The 24,663-nt window shown below is 37.4% G+C and overlaps 1 long non-coding RNA gene across 1 annotated transcript in view, besides 2 other annotated features; it reads right to left on the bottom strand.

Moving 5' to 3' along the window:
• Positions 1 to 24,663, bottom strand: part of LINC01162 (long intergenic non-protein coding RNA 1162) — a 187,718-nt gene that overhangs the window by 52,466 nt on the left and 110,589 nt on the right. The window lies entirely within an intron of this gene.
• Positions 5,552 to 7,022: an enhancer, noted in NCBI's record as "VISTA enhancer hs110". NCBI's record gives its function as "enhancer in: forebrain[4/4]" and the evidence as "EXISTENCE:transgenic organism evidence [ECO:0001131][PMID:17130149]".
• Positions 11,200 to 12,634: an enhancer, noted in NCBI's record as "VISTA enhancer hs1007". NCBI's record gives its function as "enhancer in: forebrain[3/3] | facial mesenchyme[3/3]" and the evidence as "EXISTENCE:transgenic organism evidence [ECO:0001131][PMID:17130149]".

The raw sequence follows: 24,663 nt of genomic DNA, 5'->3' as shown, positions 1-24,663 counted from the left end.
ATGAAATGTAATGTCATAAATGTATTGGCACACTTCTTAAATGGACTATTTTAAGTTAAGCAAATCTCCGTCTAATGTAAAACTCTATTCTTGGATCTGCAATTTTTTTCCTTCTTTCCTCACTGCCATTTAAACGTTGATTTTTCTCAAATTGACTTAATTAAAAGAAAATTTCTTCTTCTAAATGGCACTGCATTCTAAAATAAGTCTCTCTTGTGGCTTATGTCGATGTGTACCATCACACTGTGAGGCTTGCTGGGAGAAGCTGGGACTGCTAGTTCTGTGTTGCCACAGTGTTTTGACATACAGAAAGTGCTGGGCAAATCTTTATTCAATAACTGAATGGTTCACTTCACCTGGGCCTCCAGGAATGAAGGTTCTCCTTGCTGAGAAACTATCATTCATTTCCTTGGAGTAAGAAAAGTAATTATCCATTTTGGTTTAGGAATGCCTTCCCAAATAGCTAAACCTGAGTGGTGGGGCTCTCAGAAATTTCTCTCCCTTAAGATCCTTTTACATAGTAACACACTAGATAGAATGGGTGCCAGGTCACTCGGGCAGGTCTAGGCAGAAGTAGTGGGTTATATTCGTCTTGGGGTCTTTGTTTGTTTGTGCTGCTGTGTAACAACATACCTGAGAATGGGTAACTTATATAGAATAGAAATTTCCCCATGGTTCTGAAGGCTGAGAGGCCCAAGATTAAGGAACTGGCAGATTTAGTGTCTGGCAAGGACCAATCTCTCTGCTTCTAAGAAGTGGTGCCTTGTTGCTGTGTCCTCAGGAGGTGACAAATGCTTTGTTCTCACATGGAGGAAGGTGGAAGGGCAGCAGGGAGGAAGGTAGTTCCCTCCAGCCCTTTCATAAGGTCACTAATGCCACTCATGAGGGCAGAGACTTAATCACCTCTTAAAGGTACCACTTCTTGGTACTATCACACTGGCCATTAAGCTTCAACATATGAATTTTGGGGAGACACACTGAGTCCATAGCAGGATTCATCTCTCTGGATTTGAACACTGTTCTCTCTTCTCAGTCTTACCATTTCTTTGTCCGCTGTTCAGCTGACCTAAGATGAGCCCTTGAAAATTCTACCTTGAGAGGGAGAAAGAAGGCCTTTCTATGTAGGGCTCTCCATCAATAGCCTCTTGTTGGCATCATGAAGGTGGAAGTTTCCCTACATTGTGATACCATCTCCTACACTGTTATATAATCGACAAGAATATTTGCCACCAATTTGAGGTTAATGCAATTCTGCATTGACTGTGAAAAAACAACTGAAAAAAAAATTTGTAAAGACAAGAATGATACTAATTCCCAGGCCAGATATGTACAATACTAAGTGACTACCCAGAAGCCTAGGGAGAATTCGAAATTCTATTGTGCATGTTTAGGGATTTGGGAGCTTCTTAATGATAAGATAATACAGCGCTTCGTTGGCTTTCTTAATTTCTGAAATGCCTTCTCTCTTTTTTTTCCTCTTGCCCTTTCCTCCCTCCCTCCCTTTCTTTCTTCTTTGTTTCCTTTCATTTCTTTTCCTCCTTCTCCTTTTTTTTATTTTTTAATTTTTTGGAACAAAGTTTCGATCTTGTTGCCCAGGCTGGAGTGCAATGGCGCGATCTTGGCTCACTGCAACCTCTGCCTCCCGGGTTCAAGCAATTCTCCTGCCTCAGCCTCCTGAGTAGCTGGGATTACAGGCACCCACCACCACGCCTGGCTAATTTTTTTGTATATTTAGTAGAGACAGGGTTTCACCATGTTGACCAGGTTGGTTTTGAACTTCTGACCTCAGGTGATCCACCCGCCTCGGCCTCCCAAAGTGCTGGGATTACAGGCGTGAGCCACCACGCCCGGCATCTCTTTCTTCTTTTTAAATTGGAACTCAGTAATGACTTCCAGGCTATCTGAATCAGAATCTTAGATCTACCACTTACAAACTTTCTGATCTTGAAAATTTTGCTTAATCTCAAAATCCCGTATTCCTCATTTATTAAACAGAAGTGTTAATAGTATCTATCTCAGAGTTGTTGGCTCATAGTAAACCCCAAACACATGTTAGATGTTGTTTATTACTATTGCTAGTATATCAAGTAGTTACAGTCTCCCTAAAATACACAGAGCTAATTAACTATCTCAGAATTTTAAATCCAATTCCACAAATTCTGTGACTCCTCTATAGTGTACCACTTCCATTTGCTCTTAAATTTTATGATCTTTCTGAGGGTATACCACAGTAAAAAAAAAAAATTCATAAATTGGAAATAAGAGATTAGCTATTTTTGTGTATGTGGAAGGGTTTCACAGTTTACTTTCATGTAGAGAAGGAATTAAGGCCAAGAAAGCTCAGAGAATTTCTCCTTTGTAAGCATCCATCATTATTATCAATGGTAAAGGTGTGTTGGATTATAAAAGTTTTTTTTAATAGTTTAATATCCATAAGGGGTCAGTAATACCGGTATGGTCAATCTTGTTTGTTGTTCCTTAACTTCCATCTGTTTGGGGTGAATGGATGCTGCTGATTATGAAGAGGACATTATTTGAGAGAATAAATGATCCTTACAGGTCCACACCCCGCAGGAGTACAAGGAATTGCAGTAGTGGTATTACAGCAAAGAAGAAACAACACAGAGGTAATTTCCTAAAATTGTGGGAAGTCTGAAAACTTTAAGTACAGTTTTTTTGTCCATAAATGAAACAGTATATTAAATCTGTGCAGGGAGTTTGCTAAATAAAAATGTGATGATATTTTTTTTTCTTGAGACAGGGTCTTACTCCGTCGCTTAGCCTGGAGTGCAGTGGCGTGATCACAGCTCACTGTAGCCTTGACCTCCCCAGGCTTAGTTAATTCTCTTACCTCAGCCTCTGGAGTAGCTGGGACTATACGTGCACACCACCATGAATGGCTAATTTTTTTATTTTTGTGGAGATGGGGTCTCACCATGTTGCCCAAGCTGGTCTTAAACTCCTGGGCTCAAGCAATCCTCCCACCTCAGCCTCCCAAAGTGCTGGGGATCCAGGCATGAGCCACAGCACCTGGTCATAAATTACGTAATGAATTTTTACGTAAGTGATTCTTCGGCTAGAATTCCTCCCTACCATCCCCCACCCCTGAATTAATCTTTGGGATAAATCCAGAAATTGGTATATGAGTCTGAGTAAATGGGAATAAAAGGGGTTCTCCAGCTTCTTGCTTTTTTCTAAGTTTTCCTAACATTTTGGTTATTGGACCTTACATATGACTTGCTGAGATAAGAGCATGGAGTTAACTACCATTGAAAACATGAAGGAGTATGCTCAACTCTGCACTGGTTGCCCATGGCAATATGAGCATTGGGATACCAAGCAAAACACCTTGGCTTTCACTTAAATCAGTGCAACAAATGCCTCATGTGCAATCTCAAAAAATATTTCATTCATGCTGTAATTTACTTGTAGATCCCTTGAAATGGAACAACCCCCCCCACCCTCTCACTCTCATTCCAGCCCCCGCCCTCTTTACCTCTTTCACAGGAAGAAATCTGACAACTATTCTTACGGCCATTACTTTGAAAGAGCTTTGAACTAAAACAAAAAGGTCCCACCCATCAACAAACTCAAATAACAAACTCCAAAGTACATTATTTAACAGAGGTGATAAGATGGACTGGATATTTACCATGCCGACAGCATTCAAGAGTTTCTCTTCCCAAAGAAAGGAGAAAGAGAAGGACCATCTACAGGACTCTTTGTGATAGTTGACATATACAGGAATTCATCCTTGTGCATGCAGAAGCTGATTAGAACATCCGAGTTTCTAAGAGTTTTGCATATAAAACATAAATATCAATGCCAAAACTATACCAAGTCTAAAGAGATGAAAAGCATAAAAGATCAAATGACTGGCCGGGCGCGGTGGCTCACGCCTGTAATCCCAGCACTTTGGGAGGCCGAGGCGGGCAGATCACAAGGTCAGGAAATCGAGACGATCCTGGCTAACAGAGTGAGACCCCGTCTCTACTAACAATACAAAAAAATTAGCCGGGCCTGTAGTCCCAGCTACTCGGAAGGCTGAGGCAGGAGAATGGCATGAACCAGGGAGGCGGAGCTTGCAGTGAGCAGAGATCCTGCCACTGACTCTAGCCTGGGCCACAGAGGGATACTCAGTCTCAAAAAAAAAAAAAAAAAAAAAAAAAAGATCAAATGACTTCTGGCCACACTTCTCTATTTTCTTAATAACTACTTAAAATAGTCTTGAAAATCAGATATTTAGATTCTATGTGTTTGTTAGCCAATCGGCTGTCTTTCTTAGCCTAAGAATGAGAAATTTGGAACTGGGAAACAGAGCTCTTTAGGTGGCAGAACACAGGGCTCTAGAGCCTGGCTGCACAGGGTCATAGCCCAGTTTCATATTAGCTGCATGGCCCTGTGTCAGCCTCAAAACCTCCTCAGCCTCAGTTGCCTCATCTATAAAATGGGAATAATATTATTGTCCTAATAGGAATGTTCGAAGGATTTTAAATGAGACACAGTAGTTAAAGGGCTTAGCATAGTGCCTGGCACATTGTAAGCCCTGACTATGTATGCTGTGGTTATTATCTGTGTTACCATCACAGGGCTCAGTACTGATCTAGAAAGATGAAAAGATGAATGATGAGAGTGAGAGTTCACCACCAACCTCTGTCAGTAACACTGACAGTGATAACTGTGGTTCCTGCCAGCCCACGAGTTTTCTCCCATCACAGATCTCCCTTACCCTCCATTCCCCAAGAAAAGTAAAATTGTCTTAAAAGTCTTTCTACAAAAGTTATTTAATATAAAGGCCCTCCACAAGGTGAGAGTTCTTCTGGGTCCTGCTCCAAATTGACAGGACACTTTTTTTAAAATCCCATGTTTTAACAAACACCCGAACAAACGTCATCCTCCCACCTGTAAATACTTGACTATACTAAAAGTCAGACAATTGAATTATGTGTCTAATTTTCCAAAAGAATATATATTGCCGATACAAAGTAATAACTGTATTAGACCTCAATATCACCGTGAAATTGTTTGTTATGAACACTTTTACAAACAGCAGATAATAAACACATTTGTTTGCTTTCAAAGAATAAGTTGCTGTGCTATAAATAAATCATTACATTACATCAAAGGTACTAAAATCAACAATCACCTGATCATCATTGGCAAGCCTTTTCTGAACTCCATTTTTTTCCTAATTAAATGAGAGAAGAGAGTAAAAGAAATCTTTGCAAAATATCCCACATACAATAGAGTTTCTAACTGTAGGGGGTGGAAAGATGCATCCATCTCCACTTAACAGTATTAGAGAATGACTAAATTACTTGTCGCTCCCTTTCTGTACATATACTTATAAGTAATGATATAATTTTCTAAATCACACAAAAATACGTAAGCAGGATTCAATGGAGTTCTATGCCCCATTTTTATGAGAATTCATGTGGATGCTGATTTTATAGAATCTTATTAAGAGAATGTTTTTAAAAGCTGTCTTAGTTCTGTTCCAATTCAGGCTACATATCTGTATTTACGTATTTTTAGCTTTGAACTATAGAATAGTCATGTTTTGCTGTGTCTTGGCATGTATATTCAGAACCTAAGATCTTAAAAATTCACTATTTCTTAGTATGCTCACAACTATCTCTTTTAAAATTAAGCTTTTATTCTAAGTCTGAATATTTGAGTCATTTAAAGCTCCCCTTTAAATGTTGAGTGACCATAAAACTAGCAATGTGAATTTTATTTAAATTGATTTTGTATCTTCATCACCACTCCTTAAAACGAATCTTATTACTAGAGATAATGTATGTGTCAAAAAAGAAGCCTCAAATGCACTTCCTGTGCACTTGACAGGGTGACAAAATATTTCTCCTATCCTTTCCTAATTGAGCTGCAGTACAAAGGAGGACATTATAATAATATTAATAATAGTTACATGGATATTTGTAGGTACTGTGTAACCCTTCAGTCCATTTTCCCAGACAATGGTGACTACAAAGAGGCTTCAAAATAGAACATCGCACAATATGAATGCCACTTTTTTCTATCTTACATTTTAAAAACATCATTGAAATCAGAAAGTTCATTTACAAAGGACTGGCAGTTGCAATCACAGCAATAATGTAGTGCTGAGAAAAAAAGGGTAATTGGTTTGGTAAAGATCGCTTTCCATTACACCATAAAGCACTACACAATAGGAAAGGTCGCCAATTAAGCAATCATGAATACCAAGTACTGAAGCTGATGAAAATAGGGCAGTGGTTTAAATAGATTTGCAAGCAATTTACCTTTTCACAATGTTGGCAATCTGATGCAATTTGCTTGCAATTTTGTCTGCTTTCAGTAGCACTCGAAGCTGACACTACACAGACCAAATGGCAAAGAGGCCCTGCATAGAAAATGTAAAACTATCTTGGCTGCATCAGGAAACCAGAATGGTGGTTCATCAGGAAAATTACAACAATTAACATAAGTGCTGCAAAAATCAACACTTTAAATGTCACACTCACTAGTCTGTCCAAAGACTGTAAAAGTACCATCCCCGTTGCTGGACTAACAGTAAATATGAAGCAATCACCACCAAACCTTGGGCCTGATGGCTTTACAATTGATGTGACATTCTCTGAGTGATAAAATAGCCTCTCATTTTACAAAAGTAAGTATTTTTCTTTTTTAGACTTAACCTGGATTATGTCAACACAAAATTTACGTTTAATTTTTTTCAACTTTTTTGACAAAGCTATTTCATGCCAGTGTGGGTGTAGTTGGTCTTGACATTTAAAAAATAACTGTATATTTCAGAGAATTAGAGCCAAGTTGATAAAAAATAATCCCTCCTCAAATATTGATCTGGTGCTTTCAAATGCAAATCATGCTCCAGATTTATGTCGAAAGCTGTTATACAGTGTGAGGTACAGTGTCTCTGACCAGAGCCTATTTCATTATCTTAGAGAAGGCTCCAAAAAGGCATCTGTGGATATTCTCCTGAGGACTGGTTGGAATTACAGATGCCATCACATGTCTATATCAATGTATTCCCAGCTAAAAGTTAGACACCCTGAAAATAATTGATAACTTCTGCTTTGGTTCCCATGTTTGAAGAAGCTATAAATTTGTCAGGCCTTGAGGAGAATTGGCTTATAGTGTAAACCTAATGATTTCTCAGTGAACTGGGAGGATCTCGTGGTGAGAGAACAAGAATAGAGTGTCAGAAAATCTAAGTTTAATTTTCATCTCTATATTGGCTGACTGAGAGAGTTATTTTAGGCCTGTATCTGTGAGGGCCGGTCTTCCTGTTTTGAGGGAATTGACATCATTTTGGCTTAAGAACAAGGTTGGATATTTATCCTTGTGAATGTCCTTGTCTTGCTTGAGTTCAGAGACCATGATTTCCATACCAGCAAAGAAAGAGCATCAGACATGCATGTATGGGAGATACTCATAGTAAAGAGGAAACAGTTTTATTATGAAGATTTTTATTAGTGAAAAGGCCTCTTGTGAAAATAGCAACTCCGTTTTGTAACAGCTTTTACTGTATCCCAGGGCTCATCTTTGATTCCTTCTGGTCTACAGAAAATAATTTCTCAAAAGGGAATTCAGAGTTGACGTGTAGCATTCAGATTTGTCTGTAACAATGGGACCCAAAGTATTGTGGTGACACATGACTCTGGGATTCTTCTTGAGATGCCCTCTCAAATCATTGCTAATATGGTGCTTCATTCTGTCAAGGGGTACTTCCCTCACATACTTTTCTCACTGCTACTTTGTACCAAACAACAGTATCAACTCCGGGAAAGAGTTTTATCGGCTGCCTCTTCTCATGATCATCTTGAAGAACATCAGCAAGCATTTCCCTACCGCTGGCGTCTCAGAGAGTATTATCTAAATCACTCAATGAGGGTTATCCCTAAGCAATGAGGGCATTGTCCAGGGGACTATGGCCCAATGTTGGCCATGTTGGCTCTTCAGAAACAAGTCCATTACTTGGCTGAAAGTAGAGGGGTTAGCCTCTGTGGGAGCGGCATAGTCCTTTTAGAAGGGTTTACATTTTCTGTAATGTGAAGCTTACAGAAGGATGTAATAATTCTCTCTCTGGATTTAGGTGGCCTGTGTGCAACCATTTTCTGAAGAAATGCATGCATTTTCTAACTGTTCTCTGACAGACTCCAAGAACAAGTCGCTACATGAAGGGAGTGACCTTTTGTTGCCATCCACAATATGACAGGGATGCTTCCATGGAAGGATGGCATCAGCGGTCTTGAGAGTAAATTATAGGCTAGGAATAGCAATAAGAGATTTGCTATCTCACCAGTACAAAACACTCAAAAGTTTGCAAGATCGCTTCCAGAGAAACAAACATTGAGAATTAGCTCCCCACACCCCCGTGTGTGCATGTGTGTGTGTTTAAGTATGTGTGTGTGTGACTCAGGATGTTTAAAGGAGTGATACACAAGAGGATGGGCAGAAACCATAGTTAATTTTGATAAATATAATGACCTGAGGGATTTTCTTTTCTCAGCCTTTGATTGGTACCACCGAAAACAATTATTACTGGTTAATTTAGTTGCTGGCATAGTGCATAGTAAATATTTTTGTTGTATCACTCTTTATTAACTGCAGAAAAAGCCTTTCAAATTTATTTATTAAGTTAGTCAAAATCACACACAGCAACTGTATTAACCATAAAGCATATAGTGTTAGAATCATCAAAAGTATTTCAAAGTCACTATTGTAGTCCTAATTCCTCACAGATAAATTAGAATTTAATGGAATTCACACCTCAGAGACTTGGATTTTAAAGATAAAGTTTCCCAGAGAGGAGGATTCAGAGTCTTTACTAGTTTGGGTTGAACTACGTATTTACATTAATTAGACTTGCCCCATCAAATATAATAACATGAGTAAAAGATGATGTAAATTCTTGTAAAACTACTCAACTGCACTTGCTACCATCAAGCAGGCAAAATGCATAAAAATCATAGCACCCCTTCGGGAGCAATGCCACTTAGCCAAATAGAAGTTTTTTAGCCCTCAAAGTATTTTAAGAAGACAATGAAATAATGATATTTATTTAAAAATCATAAGCACTTAAAAATATAAAAAAAGTTTCTCGAATGGCAGTTGTGCAACCACTTTGGGGTAAAATATGGGTTGAATTTTGGCTCTCATACTTATTAGCTGTGTAGCCAAAGGCAAATCACGTAATCTGAGTCCAAATTTTGTCATCTGTAAAATGGAGATAATAAAATCTTACAGAAATGTTTATGAGCAGTAAAAATATTGCATTAGAAGTAGCATATACTAGATGTTTAAATAAAAATCATTGGTTATTATGACTGTAGTTGTTTTTATTGTGAATGATGATGATGATCAGAAAATCTAACCTGGTAAGCATCCAAGATGATCTATGTTTGTGTTGTTTTCTATGGATAAAAATGAAAAATAGCTACTCTATTCAAATGAGGAGATCTGTATTAAAACATTTGAAAATGTGCCATAAAATTCAGGAAACTTTTAATATTATCATCAAAAAGAAAAAAATCCCTCAAAAGGTATTTTTCAAGCCAGGATGAAATCACATTGCAATTCATCGTCTCTTGGTCAATTATTACAAAGTACTTTTCAAGCTAGAATGAACAAAATTTGAAGGTTTTGCATGTGTTTAAAACAATGTAAATTGCTTAGTTTCTGTAAGCAATTCCACAAAATTAAGCAGAAAATTAAGAAGGAAGAATTTTCTACATTCTTCATTCTTGATAAACCTAGAAACCAGTGTAGAAGACCATAGAGGATGTCGTAGAAAAGCAGAGAGGGAAGTGGGGAGGAAGTCAGACTCACAGCCTAGACAGCTCCAGAGCATCTCTCAGCCCCCGAGCAGGGTTGCACAGCAAATGCAGATCCAGAAAAAGCTGGAGCCAATCCTAGACCAGCAGGATCCATGGTATCCCTCAGGGATCATTCATTTGGTGAAATTAGACAATTCTGAATGCTTCAGGAACGCTTGCTGGCTCTGTGGAGAGGAGTTAGGCCATTCTTTACTTTAGTGGAATGCTGGTGAACATTCCCAAGAACACCTCATACCTGCAAGATACCTTACATCTCTAAACCAGCCTCTAGTGGCCCCTAACTAGCCTGTGGTGGCTGTCTCCGGGCAGCTGGAGATGGCCATGGGGCCCTGTAATTCACTAGAGCTTAGTCAAAATGGTCACATTCCCCTGGAGGCGTATCACTATGTTTCAATAGCTCTGATCTGAGTCGAATTCTATTTACTCAACAAACCTTTTTGAGCACCTATTATGGACTATGCTTTATGGGGGATATATATATATATATATATATATATAATCATTGTCGCTCTCTTCAAAGAGCTTACAGTCTAGTATAAAAGATAAGGGGTACCCTATAGCAAACAAATATTTAAATAAAAGTTTATAAAAGACAAGTGCCATAAAAGAAATGAAAACACCATGGTTGGTAGAAGAGGTAGATAATGCATGTGAAACCATAGTACAGAACGCAATGGTTTTGATAAACTTTGCCCTTTCCTTTAAACCAAGTTGATAGTGGTATGGAATATTTGATGTTTGAGATCATACTTAAATGTTTAATTCGGTAAGCTTTGGATAGACAGGGGAAGTACTTCGAGGTGAAAGGAAAAGCATAAGAAGGAAGGAAGAAACAGAAGGAGGGAGGAAAGAACCTCGCCTAGGTTAGACAGCTCAAGTCCAGTTTGGTTGGAGTGCTGTAACAAGAGCATTCAGAATTCTAAACGAGATCGTGCTTGAGTTCACCTAAAAATCCTGCATGCTCTGGGTAAATGAGTTTCCCTGTTTATAACTTCATGCATCAAGCATTTCATAAAGCATGTCCTCAATTACTAAATTTTGCGTACATTGTAATTATACCTCATGTATGCTTGGGAATAACAATCCTGTACTTGAATTATCTTGAAAGGATGATACAAAGTTAGAAAAAGGCTGGTTTTTCATTCTTCCTTGGTCAAATCACACTCTAATAAAACCTAATGTTGTAATTTTATATATTCTTAATCTTTCAGGTTGAGTCTGAATTTGGCCCCAGGCCCTCTAGCTCTTTCAGGAAAGGCTGTTACTGAACAAATGAAGATTTAACCAGCTCAAGCATCAAACCGCACATTCCAGTTTGCTAAAAAGGTAAACAGTTCAAACAGGAAGTTATGATATGTACCCATCCACAGGTCAATGAAAGTTTTTATTTACATTGGAAAACCTTGTGTACACTGGACTAATAAACCCAATAAAATCAGATCTTTTGGTGTCAGTTGCCTCCTGTAGCTGTCTATAGTCAGTTGTCTGGACACTGCAGAACACTGAGCTTCTTTTTCTTTTGAATACCTGATCTTACAGTAACATGCCATTCTACAGCACACTGCGACATTTCAAAATCACCTGAGCGCTATCCCTATTTAAAACAAATGAAACAAAGATCAATTCCTCAGAAGCTGTAGATTACCCTTCAGTCACCACAAGATGATGACTCCAGGATCCTAAGACTTTCAGAGAACGATCTTGAGCCAAGATTAACAAATGTCATAGACCTAACAGATCTAACAGCCTTGCTGCTGTTGAACTACTTCATATATCGGTTCCCAAGTTTGGTGGGAATAAAAATATTGCACAGATGGGACTGTAACTGACCGTAGCCTGCTCCATTGTGTGTCCAACTATCTCTAATTACAGCAGCCCATGAAAGGAAGAGATTTGAAAGGGCAGGTGACAGGAGAGGAGAGGAACCTGTTTGACTTAAACAGCGCAGGATCCCTCACCATCAGGCCTGATGTACATCAGCCTGACAGCTAATTAGGGTAGACATGAATTTTTCCAATGTAACAGATGTTCGCTAATCAGGCCAGATTTGGAGCCCTTGCGCCAGCAACATTTCATGCACAATTTAACTATCTAAAAGGAATAAACTACTTAATGCATTGTACTGAAGGCACAGCTGTTTCACAATCAGAAAATTTGCTGTCAAAGATGTTCTCTTTAAAACTGACATGTTTTTATATAACTCTGATGGGGTGTTTATAATGTATTAATAGTTGTCAGCAAGAGCTGCTGTCATCATCAAGAAGTAAAATATTTCTGAAGGTATATTAAAATGAACAGGCTCCTTTCTCTTTTCCCCAAATCCATTCAGATAATTTAACTAGGTTGAATGTGGTCTGCTGGGTTCCAAAATGTATTTGAAACAAAGAACATCAATGTATGCTTTCAATTTATTCTAAATTTAAGACAAAAACCATGCCTTGCTTTTGGTTTAAAGGTTTAAAACAATCATAGTTCCACATTGGTTTACAAAGCTGGATTTTAAAAATCATTTTACTTTTATGCAAATTCACGAGGGGAACATCATTTCCACACCAAAAATGTTTTATTGGGTAAAATGAAGGTTTGACATCTTTATAAACACAAGCTAATTTGGTAAGGATGAAAAAGGATTTCTCTCTCTCTCTCTCTCTGCCTTTCTCTCTTTCTGTGTCTTTTCATTCTCCCTTGCACTTCATGTACAAAATGACCCTCTATTATAAGAAAAGACTTTTGCTAAATACGAACTTGAAACTTTGGTATTTTTTGACAGTTTAGTCTTGCATTTTTGTTGCTTGTATTTTTAAAATAGTAACACAAAACAATAATTACTACCCTACGAATATTGAAAAGTTTACATCGTTTAAAAATAGAAATTTGTAAGTCTTAAAACTCTGTGTTTGAAGTAGATGTTCAATATTATAAGCTGATGACTTCAAATTCTACAGTAAAGCAGGTTGTAGGGCTTTGTAATCTAGATCGTCTACATAATTTAGCAATTTGCTTATTCTGGTAACTATCAATTTTTTTCCCACAATTTTATGCTACATAATTTGTTTGCATTATTTTTCAACTAATAATGTTAAAAGTATAAATTATGCTTTTTCTGGCAAGAAAAATGGTAGGTAATGTAGTTTCTCTGGAGACTAGGTTACCATGACCCTCCTTTTCACGAGCTGGCCCAAGTGATTTGTGACCCCTGAGAGGTACTATGTTGAATTGATTTGCACCAGTAGCTCAGATCTTCTGGTAAATTCAAAGACACTAACATATTTTAAACCCAGTCTCACTTAAAGAACCATTTTCAGAATTAATAAGGAAGTCTGGGACTCTCTGCTATGGCTCATGAGCATTCTGATGTCACGACTTTTCCACTAAAAACTGGCTATAGACCAATTGTATAAAGAGTCATATTTTCAGAGGATGACAAACCATGCCACATCTAGAAAAGAGTTTTCCCATCTGTATTCCAAAGCAAATCAGTCCTGAGAGATAGTAAAAATTATTTTCACCAGAAGACTTAAAATGAAATGTCTTGATTCGCTCACTCCCTCTTTGGATATCCTATGTCAGTAGGTTGTTTGCCATCTTCAATGCCCATATCTCGAAAATACTTATCTTTGAATCTTCAAGACAATTTCATAACCATCAGTAGTTCTTTAATATAGGCATGTTCTGAACTAAACTGTAGATAAAGCTTTTAAAAAGAGTAAAGCTCCATATTATCACCCACTTCATCATTAAGTAATTCAACTTTGGATACCAATATTTTATAGGACAATGCAATTCTTAAAAGGTTATCTATAGATTGAGATTTCAATTAGAATTAAATCCATACCCTTTGCTACAAGCTAAACAACTCCACATTATCTGGCCTCTCCTACCTTCCAGCAGCATTGTATGCCCATTACCTCCCTGCTCACTGCAATCTAACCAACACTGATCCACTCTCTGAAACGTGAACACACCAAAGTCTTTCTCTTCTTAGGGCTTTTGACATACTTCTCTAGGCCTACAGTGTTCTTCCTTTGCTCTTGGCATGTCTGACTCCTTATTTTCACTCAAGATTCAGCATACAAACTTACAGTTAGAGAAGAAATAAGTTCTAATGCTTCATAGAAGAATAGTGACCATAGTTAGCAACAATATTTGTATATTTCAAACTAGAAGAGAGGACTTAAAATGTTATCAGCCCATAGAAATGATAGATACTCGAGGTGATAGATACTCCAAATAGCCTGACTTGATCATTACACAGTCTATGCATGAAGAAAATCCTCACATGTACCCCAAAAATATGTAAAATATTATATATCCATAAAATTAAAACTAAAAATTTAATTTATTTTCTGTCTTCTCACCTCCTTAAACCTTCTAGAACTGTGATGTCCAGGACAGTAATGACATGCTGTTACTTAAGTTTAAATTAATTAAAACAAAAATTAAATACAATTGCAAATTCCATTCCTCAGTTTTTCTCAATAGCACAGATATAAAACACTTTTGTCTCACAGAAAGTTCTGTTGAACAGTGCTGATCTAGAATATAATCTTTGAGAGCAAAAGAAAGCTCTGACTTTTTACCTCCATTTCTTTTTTTTATTATTTTTTATTTTATTTTTATTTTTTATTTTTTTTTAGACAGAGTCTTGCTCTGTCACCCAGGCTAGAGTGCAGTGGAGCAATGTCGGCTCACTGCAACCTCTGCCTCCCAGTTTTAAGCGATTCTCCTGCCTCTGCTTCCCAAGTACCTGTGATTACAGGTGTGTGCCACCACACCCAGCTAATTTTTGTATTTTTAATAGAGACAGGGTTTCACCATGTTGACCAGGCTGGTCTCAAACTCCTGACCTCAAGTGATCCACCCGCCTCAGCCTCCCAAAGTGCTGGGATTACAGGCATGAGCCACTGTGCCCGGCCTCTTTTTACCTCCTTTCTATGGGCCTAGAATAGCAACTAGCCCATAGTAGTTCTCAATTTGTTAAGTCGATGGATGGATGGATGGATGGATGGATGGATGGATGGATGGATACATGGATGGACACGTGGATGGATGGATAAGTAGGTGGATGAGTGATAATGAATGGAAGAGTGAACTTTCATTTATACATAATTATTGAGAAGTGTGATATTCCAGCTAATGTAATACTCTGGTTTCTATTCAACCTTCTATTCCTAATATTAATTATTTTAATAGGATAAGATAAAGTATATTCATCACTAAAGTGTATCTCATAAAATTTAACCTTTTTTGAAGCACTCAAGGAAGAGATTTCCATGTTAACCTGAAATAGAACCACAGGACCATAAAAATCCCTTTAGAATCCAAGAAGCCTTAGTTAGGCTTTAGATCATGAGTAGGCTAATAGCAGAAAGAGCAGGAGTTTGGACTCTGGTAAACACAGGCTCAAATCCTAACTCTGATTCCAACTAGCTTGCTTTTTGTTTATTTTTGTTTGGAGAGTTTCCCTAGGCAATAAGAACCCCATTTCCTACATGTGTAAAATGGAAAAGGAGTACCAACTTCACAGGGTTATTCTGAGGATTAAATGTCTTGTGAATGTTTGGCTTATCGTAGGCTCATAATAATTGGTAGCTATTATTATAAATCTTGCAGAATTAGTGGCATGTTAGCAAATAGACTTTTTTTAAGAGACAAGGGTCTTGTTATGTTGCCCAAGCTGGAGTGTAGTGGCTATTCACAGGCATGATCACAGCACACTGCTACCTCAAATTCCTGGAGTAAAGGGACCCTCCTGCTTTGGCCTGCCACGTAACTGGGATAACAGCTGTGCACTACCACACCTGGCTCTGGCAAGTAGATCTCTGAAAATCCTGATCTATTTCTTGTCACTCCTTCCCTGGCCTTCTTGCTTTACCCATAAACACCGTGATTCCCAGACTCTCAGAGGCTTGTCATAGACACACAGCATGGGAATGTGAGGATGTAAAGTGCGAGGGGTGTGGAGGAATGTTGTGGGCAGAGAGGAACAGGCCAAACACAGAAAGAGCTGTTTTCCCAATAGCTCCTGGCACAGACTGTCTCATATTTAAAATTTTTAAAAAACCAAAATCCTTGGAAGTATGAAACATTTCTAAGATTCTGTAAGTGCACAGTTCACACACCATATCTATGTTATCACTTAATTTAGAGAGCTACCATCAAGCTTAGGAAGCAGAAAAGATGAACCCTAACAGATTAACAGGGAGAAGGTCTTAGTTGTATGTTTTCTTCTGGTAATTTTTAAAAAGGTAATTTTATATCATCAGAGACAGTGAAAGTCCACAATCCTTATTACAGTTTCCCATAGAAAGAGGGTTTATGGAGGGTCGGTCTACAGTGATCAGAATCAATTTTTTTGGTAAGCCTGTGAAAACAAAACAAAATCGAGAGACAGTACAAACTTGGGAAGGACTAAATTTTAAATCAGAATATGAGTAAAAAATTAGAGCTTTAGTTATTATTTACCTGATTGTTTACATTTCCAAAAGGGTAGAGAGTTGTTTTCTGTTTTTTCTTTTGAGTCTCTGTGTTACCTTAGAGCTTCATCTTCTTCCAGGCCAGGAAGAGTATAATTCTGCCTTAAAGCCCTGATTATTCACCTGTAAAGCACCCTTGATTACTGGAGGTATTTGGAAGTTAAAAAACATGGAATGTTAAATATTTCTTTGAATAGGAAATTAGGATTCCCTTTCTTCCTAAGGAGAGTAGCCTCCTTTTTTGCTTTCCCCCCGCCCCCCCCTTGAGACTTAAGGCAAAAATAAGCAGAATGATCTGTGTTACAACTCTTTGGAATTGGTCAGTGTTAACAGAGACTCAATTTTATTGCTAAATCACATTTAAAAGTTGTGAATTTTTTTATATGAACATTTATGTGATGTGGGTCCAGGAACTGTGAGAAAACAATTTTCTAGAGTAAAAATTCAAGCACTTCCTAGCCCACCACAGAGAAAAACTTATGTGAAGAATAAGAATATTTACTGATTAAATAACAATTTAAGGGAAGAACTGTGCCTTAAAAAGAACATACTGAGGGCTATTCTGGGGGAGTTTTTTATGAGATATCTGCAAGAAAGCATAATATGGCTAAAGGCCCTAAAGGGAAAAATTTCTTTTTTTATGGTTTATAGATGGTAAGAAAGGATGATTTTTAAAAATGCTTTGCCACCATTTAACAAAAAGCCTTGTATTGAGAGAGATGCAGAGCTGTGGTCATGGAACTTTTGACCTTCACTGCTCAGAACAGCTTGGCTGGGCCCACTTACAGCAGGAATGACATTTTTTGCTTGTTTGGTTCATATGTAGGTCTGCTAGTTGCTGTTATCAATGTACTTTCATTTACAAGATTTAACATCTCTCTATATACCTTTTTCTCTCTATCTCTCTTTCTTTCCCACTCTTCTGTTTTCTGGCAACAGTCAACAGTGATTATTCATGTTAAAATGAGAGTCTTGAAACTAAATCAAATTGAGCATTAACAAGAGATGCTGCATGAAAATAAACAAGAGAGAAAGAAAAAAAAATGCTAGGCTAGAAGTCTCAGACACGGTTTCTGTGTGACCCTAGATTGTTCTCTTCACAACTTTAGGTTTGGCTTCCTTGAATGTCAAACAGATCTCAATATGCAACTCTAATGTTGTAGTTCTACTCTAGAGGATCTTTGGGATATTTCTTAGTCATGACCCTTAGTTACATCAGTTTGAACAGCCTCTTGTTATTCACATTTCCCTGATAATGAGTCTCCTCCCTTCCCTTCCTGGTTATCCTTCAGCTGAGTAGTTTCCTTGTACAACCCTGGATCCTGTCTACCTGCCCCTTTGCATGTAGGTGCTAATTTTGGCATCTCATTCTCCCATCTCATTTCCTTCAAGTCACTTCTTTTTCCGTTTTAATCCTCTTCCCATGGTTATTTCCCGGTGTTTGTTCCAGGAATACTTAGCTCCATCTTTAAAGCAAATGCATTCTTTGTTTCTTTTTTTTTTTTTTCTTTGAGACAGAGTGTCGCTCTGTCGCCCAGGCTGGAGTGCAGTGGCGTGATCTCGGCTCACTGCAAGCTCCGCCTCCTGGGTTCACGCCATTCTCCTGCCTCAGCCTCCCTCAGTAGCTGGGACTACAGGTGCCGGCCACCTCGCCTGGCTAATTTTTTTTATTTTTAGTAGAGACGGGGTTTCACGGGTTTCACCGTGTTAGCCAGGATGGTCTCGATCTCCTAACCTCGTGATCCGCCCACCTCGGCCTCCCAAAGTGCAGGATTACAGGCGTGAGCCACCACGCCCGGCCAAAGCAAATGCATTCTGACCTTGAATGAGAACTGAATTATTTCAATGTTCTGGACCTTCCTTCCACTCCTGGCAGGTATCCGGCCACCTCTTTGACCACAGAGTAGAGAATACATCAAAAATACCATTCTCCCTGTGATTGTCAGTTCTCCCCTGTATTTCAACACATGCTGAACGCTATGGGCAAGGCTTGCTTAGTGATTTTACTCGTGGATGAAATCTTACAAACAAAAGCCACAGGCAAAAGAAAAAATAAGCCAGTGCAAAACCCCACTGCTTGCAATTAATAAATGGCTAATCATTGAAGTAGTGCAAAGATAGAGGCAGATGCTTTTAAAAAATTATTAGATGATTAATACATCTTCATAATTCAAACATCAAACATTAAAACAGGTATGGTGAGAGCACTTGCTTCTACTACTGTTCCCATTTGTCAGTTTCCACAGCCTTTCACAGTACAATTTTTATTAGTTTCTTTGTATAATTCCAGAGTTTCCTTGTGCAATACAGAATATGCACTTATATTTTCTCCCTTGAAGAGGTAGCACATTATGCACACTGTTCAGTACATTGCTTTTTTTCACTACACGTACCTCAGAACTTTAGCCATGTTGATACATGGAGAGTTCATTCCATTTTTTAAAATTCTCTTACATGTTATTCCATCACATAGATATACCATTATTAATTTAACCAGTCCACTGTTGGTGGACATTTGGGTTGATACCAATCTTTTCCTATAAAAAATAATGCTACAGTCAATGACCTTGAACATATATGACTTTACATGTGTGCAAGTTTATCTGTAGGAAAAACCTCCATAAGTGGGATTGCTTGGTCAAAGAATATATGCATTAGTCATTTTGAAAGATAATGTTAAACTTTCTTCCATAGATGCATTAATTTACACTACTATCAGCAATATATTAAATTACCTATTTCCTAGTCTTTTTTTTTTTTTCTTTTTTGAGACAAGGTCCAGCTTTGTAGCCCAGGCTGGACTGAAGCGGCATGAATGACCTCACTGAAGCCTCCACCTCCTGGGCTTAAGCAATCCTCCCACCTCAACCTCCAGAGTAGCTGGGATTACAGATGTGCACCACCACGCCTGGCTAATTTATTTCTATTTTTTTGTAGAGATGAGTCTCACCATGTTGCCCAGGCTGGACTTGAACTCACCGGCTCAAGCATCCTTCCACCTCAGCCTCCCAAAAAGCTGGGACTGCAGGTGGGAGCCACAGCACCTGGCCTCCCACCATCTTGAAAACAAAATGCTGGTAAGTTTCTGTTTGGGAAAATCTGGAATTTTGATTACATACTTTTTTAAATTATGGTATCTTTATGTGGTTTTAATTTACTTTTATATTGAGTGAGGTTATGTACTTTTTCATATGTTTAAGAGCCATTTATTTTTATAAACTCTATTCAAATTCTTTTTTATTATAGTTTTAAACTATGTTGTAGAACTTCTTTACACATTAGAGCAATTAGCTATTTGGTTGACATGAAATAATTTTCCTAGTTTTTTGTTTTTCGCTGAATTTTTGTGTTGATTTTGTTTCAACTTAGATGTTTTAAAAGTTATTTTTCTATACATTTACCTTAATTTCCTATTATAATCTTTGGACTTCAGTCATAATTTAAAAAGCCTTTTTACTCCAAAGTTATAAAGGGATTCTCCCATGTTGTACTCTCTATTGTTATGGCTTCTTTTTGAAATCTTTGAACTTTTTGAGGTGTGATATGGAGAAAGGATTAAACTTCTTTTCAGAGAGCCTTAACATTGCCCTAACATTACTTATTGAATAATCCATCTTTTCCCTGACACTAATTTGAAGTCTCACCTTTAGCAAATGACCAATTTCTTACATGGTGTGGGTCTGCAGACTTTCTGCTTCATTAGTCTATACATTCACTTTGGAGGTAACTAGACAGAACTTTCCTGCCTTTTCTCTAATCACCCATGCTCCAGCCACTCAGAACTACCCCGTCTTTGATACGGGAGCATTCCTGTTCCCTCTACACCTTTGCACATGCTCCTTGCCCTGCCTAGACTGTCTCATCTAGCAAATCTTGATTTGTCTGTTAAGACCCACATAAACTGTAACACTTCCAAAGAAATGAGGTACAGAATAATGTGCTAATTATAATTTAAAGGTTGGGGAGAGGATATTATGTATAGATGGAAACGCGAAAGTGATGAGAGTGTTATCTCTGGGAAGAGGAACTGGAAGATGGGAATGGAAAGGAGACATACTTTTGCTGTGTTCCTTTTGTATTATCAAAATCTTCACTACGTGAATGTATTATTTTTAAAATACGTAGTATTTTTTCTTAAAGTATGCACTTTTATGGAGCTATTCTCAAGTCAATGTAATACTATTTTGGAGGGATTTTTATTATTTATTTATTTATTTCAATAGCTTTAGGGGTACATGTGGTTTTTGGTTATACGGATGAATTTTATAGTGGTGAAGTTTGAGATTTTGGTGCACCTTTCACGTGACTAGTGCACATTGTACTCAATATTTAGTTTTTATCCCTCACTCCCCTCTCACCCTCCCACCTTCTGAGTCTCCAAAGTCCATTATATCATTCTGTATGCCTTTATGTACCCATAGCTTAGCTCCCACTTATATGAGAATATATAGTATTTGGTTTTTCATCCCTGAGCTACTTTGCATAGAACATAGAACAATAGCCTCCAGGCTGGGTGCAGTGGCTCATGCCTATTATCCCAGCACTTTGGGAGACCAATGCCTGAGGTCAGGAGTTCGAGACCAGCCTGGCCAACATGGTGAAACACCGTCTCTACTAAAAACTACAAAATTAGCCAGGCGTCGTGGCATGCGCCTGTAATCCCAGCAACTTGGGAGGCTGAGGCAGGAGAATCACTTGAACCTGGTTGCACCACTGCACTCTAGCCTGGGCATAAAGAGTGAAACGCCATTTCAAAAAAAAAAAAAAAAAAAGGAAAAAGAGAAAAGGAACAATAGCCTCCAGCTCCATCCAAGTTGCTGCAAAAGAGATTATTTTCTTCTTTTTTATGGCTGGGTAGTATTCCATAGCGTATGCATACCACATTTTCTTTATCCACTCATTGGTTGATGGGCAATTAGGTTGGTTCCATATCTTTGCAATTGTGAATTGTTCTGCAATAAACAAAGGCATGCAGGTGTCCTTTTGATATAATGACTTCTTTTACTTTGGATAGATACCCAGTAGTGGGATTCCTGAATCAAATGATAGATCTACTTTTAGTTCTTTAAGAAATCTCCATACTGTTTTCCATGTGGTTTGTACTAACAACTTATATTCCCACCAACAATGTATAAGTTTTCCCTTTTCATCCCACCATGCCAACACCTACTGTTTTTTGACTTTTTAGTAATGGTCTTTCTTGCAGGAGTAAGACGGTTTTAATTTGCATTTCCTTGAATTTTGTATAAGGTGAAAGATAGGGATGATTAGTGATGTTGAGCATTTTTTCATGTTTGTTGGCCAATTTGTGTATCTTCTTTGGAAAACTGTGTGTTAATGTCGCTTGCCCACTTTTTGATGGGATTGTTGAATTTTTTTCTTGCTGATTTATTTGAGTTTCTTGTAGATTCTGAATATTAGTCCTTTCTTGGATGTAGAGTTTACAAATATTTTCTCCCATTCTGTGGGTTGTCTGTTTATTTTGATGATTATTTCTTTCACAGTATAGAAACTTTTTAATTTAATCAGGTTCCATTTATTTGTTTGTTTTAGTAACATTTGCTTTTGGGGTTTTAGTCATGAATTCTTTGGCCAGGCCAATGTCTAGAAAAGTTTTTCCTAGGTTATCTTCTAGAATTTTTATGATTTCAGGCCTTAGATTTAAGTCTTTGATCCATCCTGAGTTGATTTTTGTGTAAGTTGAAAGATAGGGATCCAGTTTTATTCTTCTACATGTGGCTATCCAGTTTTCCCAGCACCATTTATTAGATAGGGTGTCCTCAATATATGATTTTTTTATGCTTTGTCAAAAAGATTGTAAGTCTTTGGTTGTAAGTATTTGGCTTTATTTCTGGTTTCTATATTCTGTTCCATTGGTCCATGTCTACTTTTATACCAGTATAATACTGTTTCAGTAACTAGAGCCTTTATAATTTGAAGTCTGGCAATGTGATGTCTTCAGATTTGTTCTTTTTGCTTAAGATTGCTTTGGCTCTTCAGGCTCTTTTTTGGTTCCATATGAATTTTAGGAATTTTTTTAATTCTGTGAAAATTTATGTTGGTATTTTGATAGGAATTGCATTGACTCTGTAGATTGTTTTGGAGCACTATGGTAATTTTCATGATATTGATTCTTCTAATCCATGAGCATGGGATGTATTTTGATTTTTGATTTGCTTGTGTCATCTATGATTTCTTTCATCAGTGTTTTGTGGTCATACTTGTAGAGATCTTCTACCTCCTTGGTTAGGTACATTCCTAGGTTTTTTGTTTTGTTTTGTTGCATCTGTTGTAAAAGGCAATGAATTCTTGATTTGATTCTCAGCTTGGTCATTGTTAGTGTCTAGCACTGCTACTGATTTGTGTACATTGGTTTTGTAACCTGAGACTTTACTTAATTTGTTTTTCAAATCTAGGAGTCTTTTGGAGGAGCCTTTAGGGTTTCTAGATATACAATCATGTCATCAATGAAGAGTGATAGTTTGACTTCCTCTTCTTCAATTCGGATGCCCTTTATTTTCTCCTCTTGCCTGATTGCTCTGGCTAGGACTTCCAACACTATGTTGAATAGAAGTGGTGAAAGTTGGCATCGTTGTCTTGTTCTAGTTTTCAGGGGGACAGCTTTTAATTTTCCCCGTTCAGTGCTATGTTGGCTGTGGGTTTGTCATATATGGCTTTTATTATTGACATAAGTCCCTTTTATGCCTAATTTGTTGAGGGCTTTCATCACAAAGGGATGTTAGATGCTTATCAAATGCTTTTTCTGCATCTTTTGAGGTGATCATATGGTTTTTGTTTTTAATTCTGCATACGTCATGTATCACATTTATTGTCTTGCATATAATAAACCATCCCTGCATTCCTAGAATGAAACCAACTTGATCATATTTATTAACTTTTTGATATGCTGTTGGACTTGGTTAGCTAGTATTTTGTTGAGGATTTTTACATCTATGTTCATCAGGGATATTGATCTGTAGTGTTCTTTTTTTACTATGTCCTTTCCTGGTTTTGGTATCAGGGTGATACTGGCTTCATAGAGTGAATTAGGGAGGATTCCCTCTGTCTCAATCTTTTGGAATAGTTTCAGTAGGATTAGTATCAAATCTTCTTTGAATGTCTGGTAGAATGCAGCTGTGAGTCCATCTGGCCTTGGGATTTTTTTCCTTGATGGCAATTTTTTAAATTACAGATTCAATCTTACTGCTTGCTATTGGTCTGTTCAGGGTTTCTATTTCTTCCTGAGTTAATCTAGGAAGGTTTTATGTTTCCAGGAATGTATCCATTTCCTCTAGATTTTCTAGTCTGTGTGCATAGAGATAATCGTAGTAATCTCAAATGATCTTTTGTATTTCTGTGGTGTCAGTTGTAATGTCTCTAGTTTCATTTCTAATTGAGCTTGCTTAAATCACCTTTCTTTTTGTCTTGGTTAATCTAGCTAATGGGCAAAAATTTTCGCTTATCTTTTCAAACAACCAACTTTTTGTTTTATTGATCTTTTGTAACTTTTTTGTTTCAAATTCATCTAGTTCTGCTCTGATCTGTTATTTATTTTCTTCTGCTAGCTTTAGGTATAGTTTCTTTTTATTTCTCTAGTACTTTGAAGTGTGACTTTCGGTTGTCAATTTACAATCTTTCAGACTTTTTGATGGAGGCATAAGTGCTATAAACTTTCCTCTTAGCATTGCTTTTGCTTTATCACAGAGGTTTTGATAATTTCTTTCACTATTATTCATTCCAAAGATTTTTATATTTCCATCTTGATTTAATTGTTAACCCAAAAATCATTCAGGAGCAGATTATTTTATTTCCATGTATTTGTATAGTTTTAGGGATTCCTTTTGAAGTTGATTTTTAGTTTTATTTCACTGTGGTCTGAGAAAATACTTGATATAATTTTGATTTTTAAAAATTTATTGAGACTAGTTTTATGGCCTATCATATGGTCTGTCTTGGAGCACGTTCAATGTGTTGATGAGAAGAATGTATATTCTGCAGTTCTTGGGTGGAATGTTCTGCAAATATCTGTTAGGTCCATTTGTTCTACAGTGTAGTTCAAGATCATTTTTTTTGTTTTTGTTGACTTTCTTTCTAGATGATCAGTCTAGTGCTGTCAGTGGGGTGTTGAAGTCCCCTACTATTATTGTGTTGTTGCTGTCTATCTCATTTCTTAGGTCTAGTAGTATTTTTTTCTGGTGTCTCATCATAGTTTTAATTTGCATTTCTCACATGATTAGTGATGAGCATTTTTCATATATTTTAAACTTTATTTATTTATTTATTTATTTTACTTTAAGTGGCAATCTGCCACTTCTTTCAAAGGGTCTGTGATTTCTTTCAGATTTCTT

This window comes from Homo sapiens, chromosome 7 (genome assembly GCF_000001405.40).
Source record: "Homo sapiens chromosome 7, GRCh38.p14 Primary Assembly".
NCBI classification, from domain to species: domain Eukaryota; kingdom Metazoa; phylum Chordata; class Mammalia; order Primates; family Hominidae; genus Homo; species Homo sapiens.
Note: the sequence above shows the minus strand (reverse complement) of the source record. Positions and strands in the feature narration are given on the sequence as shown.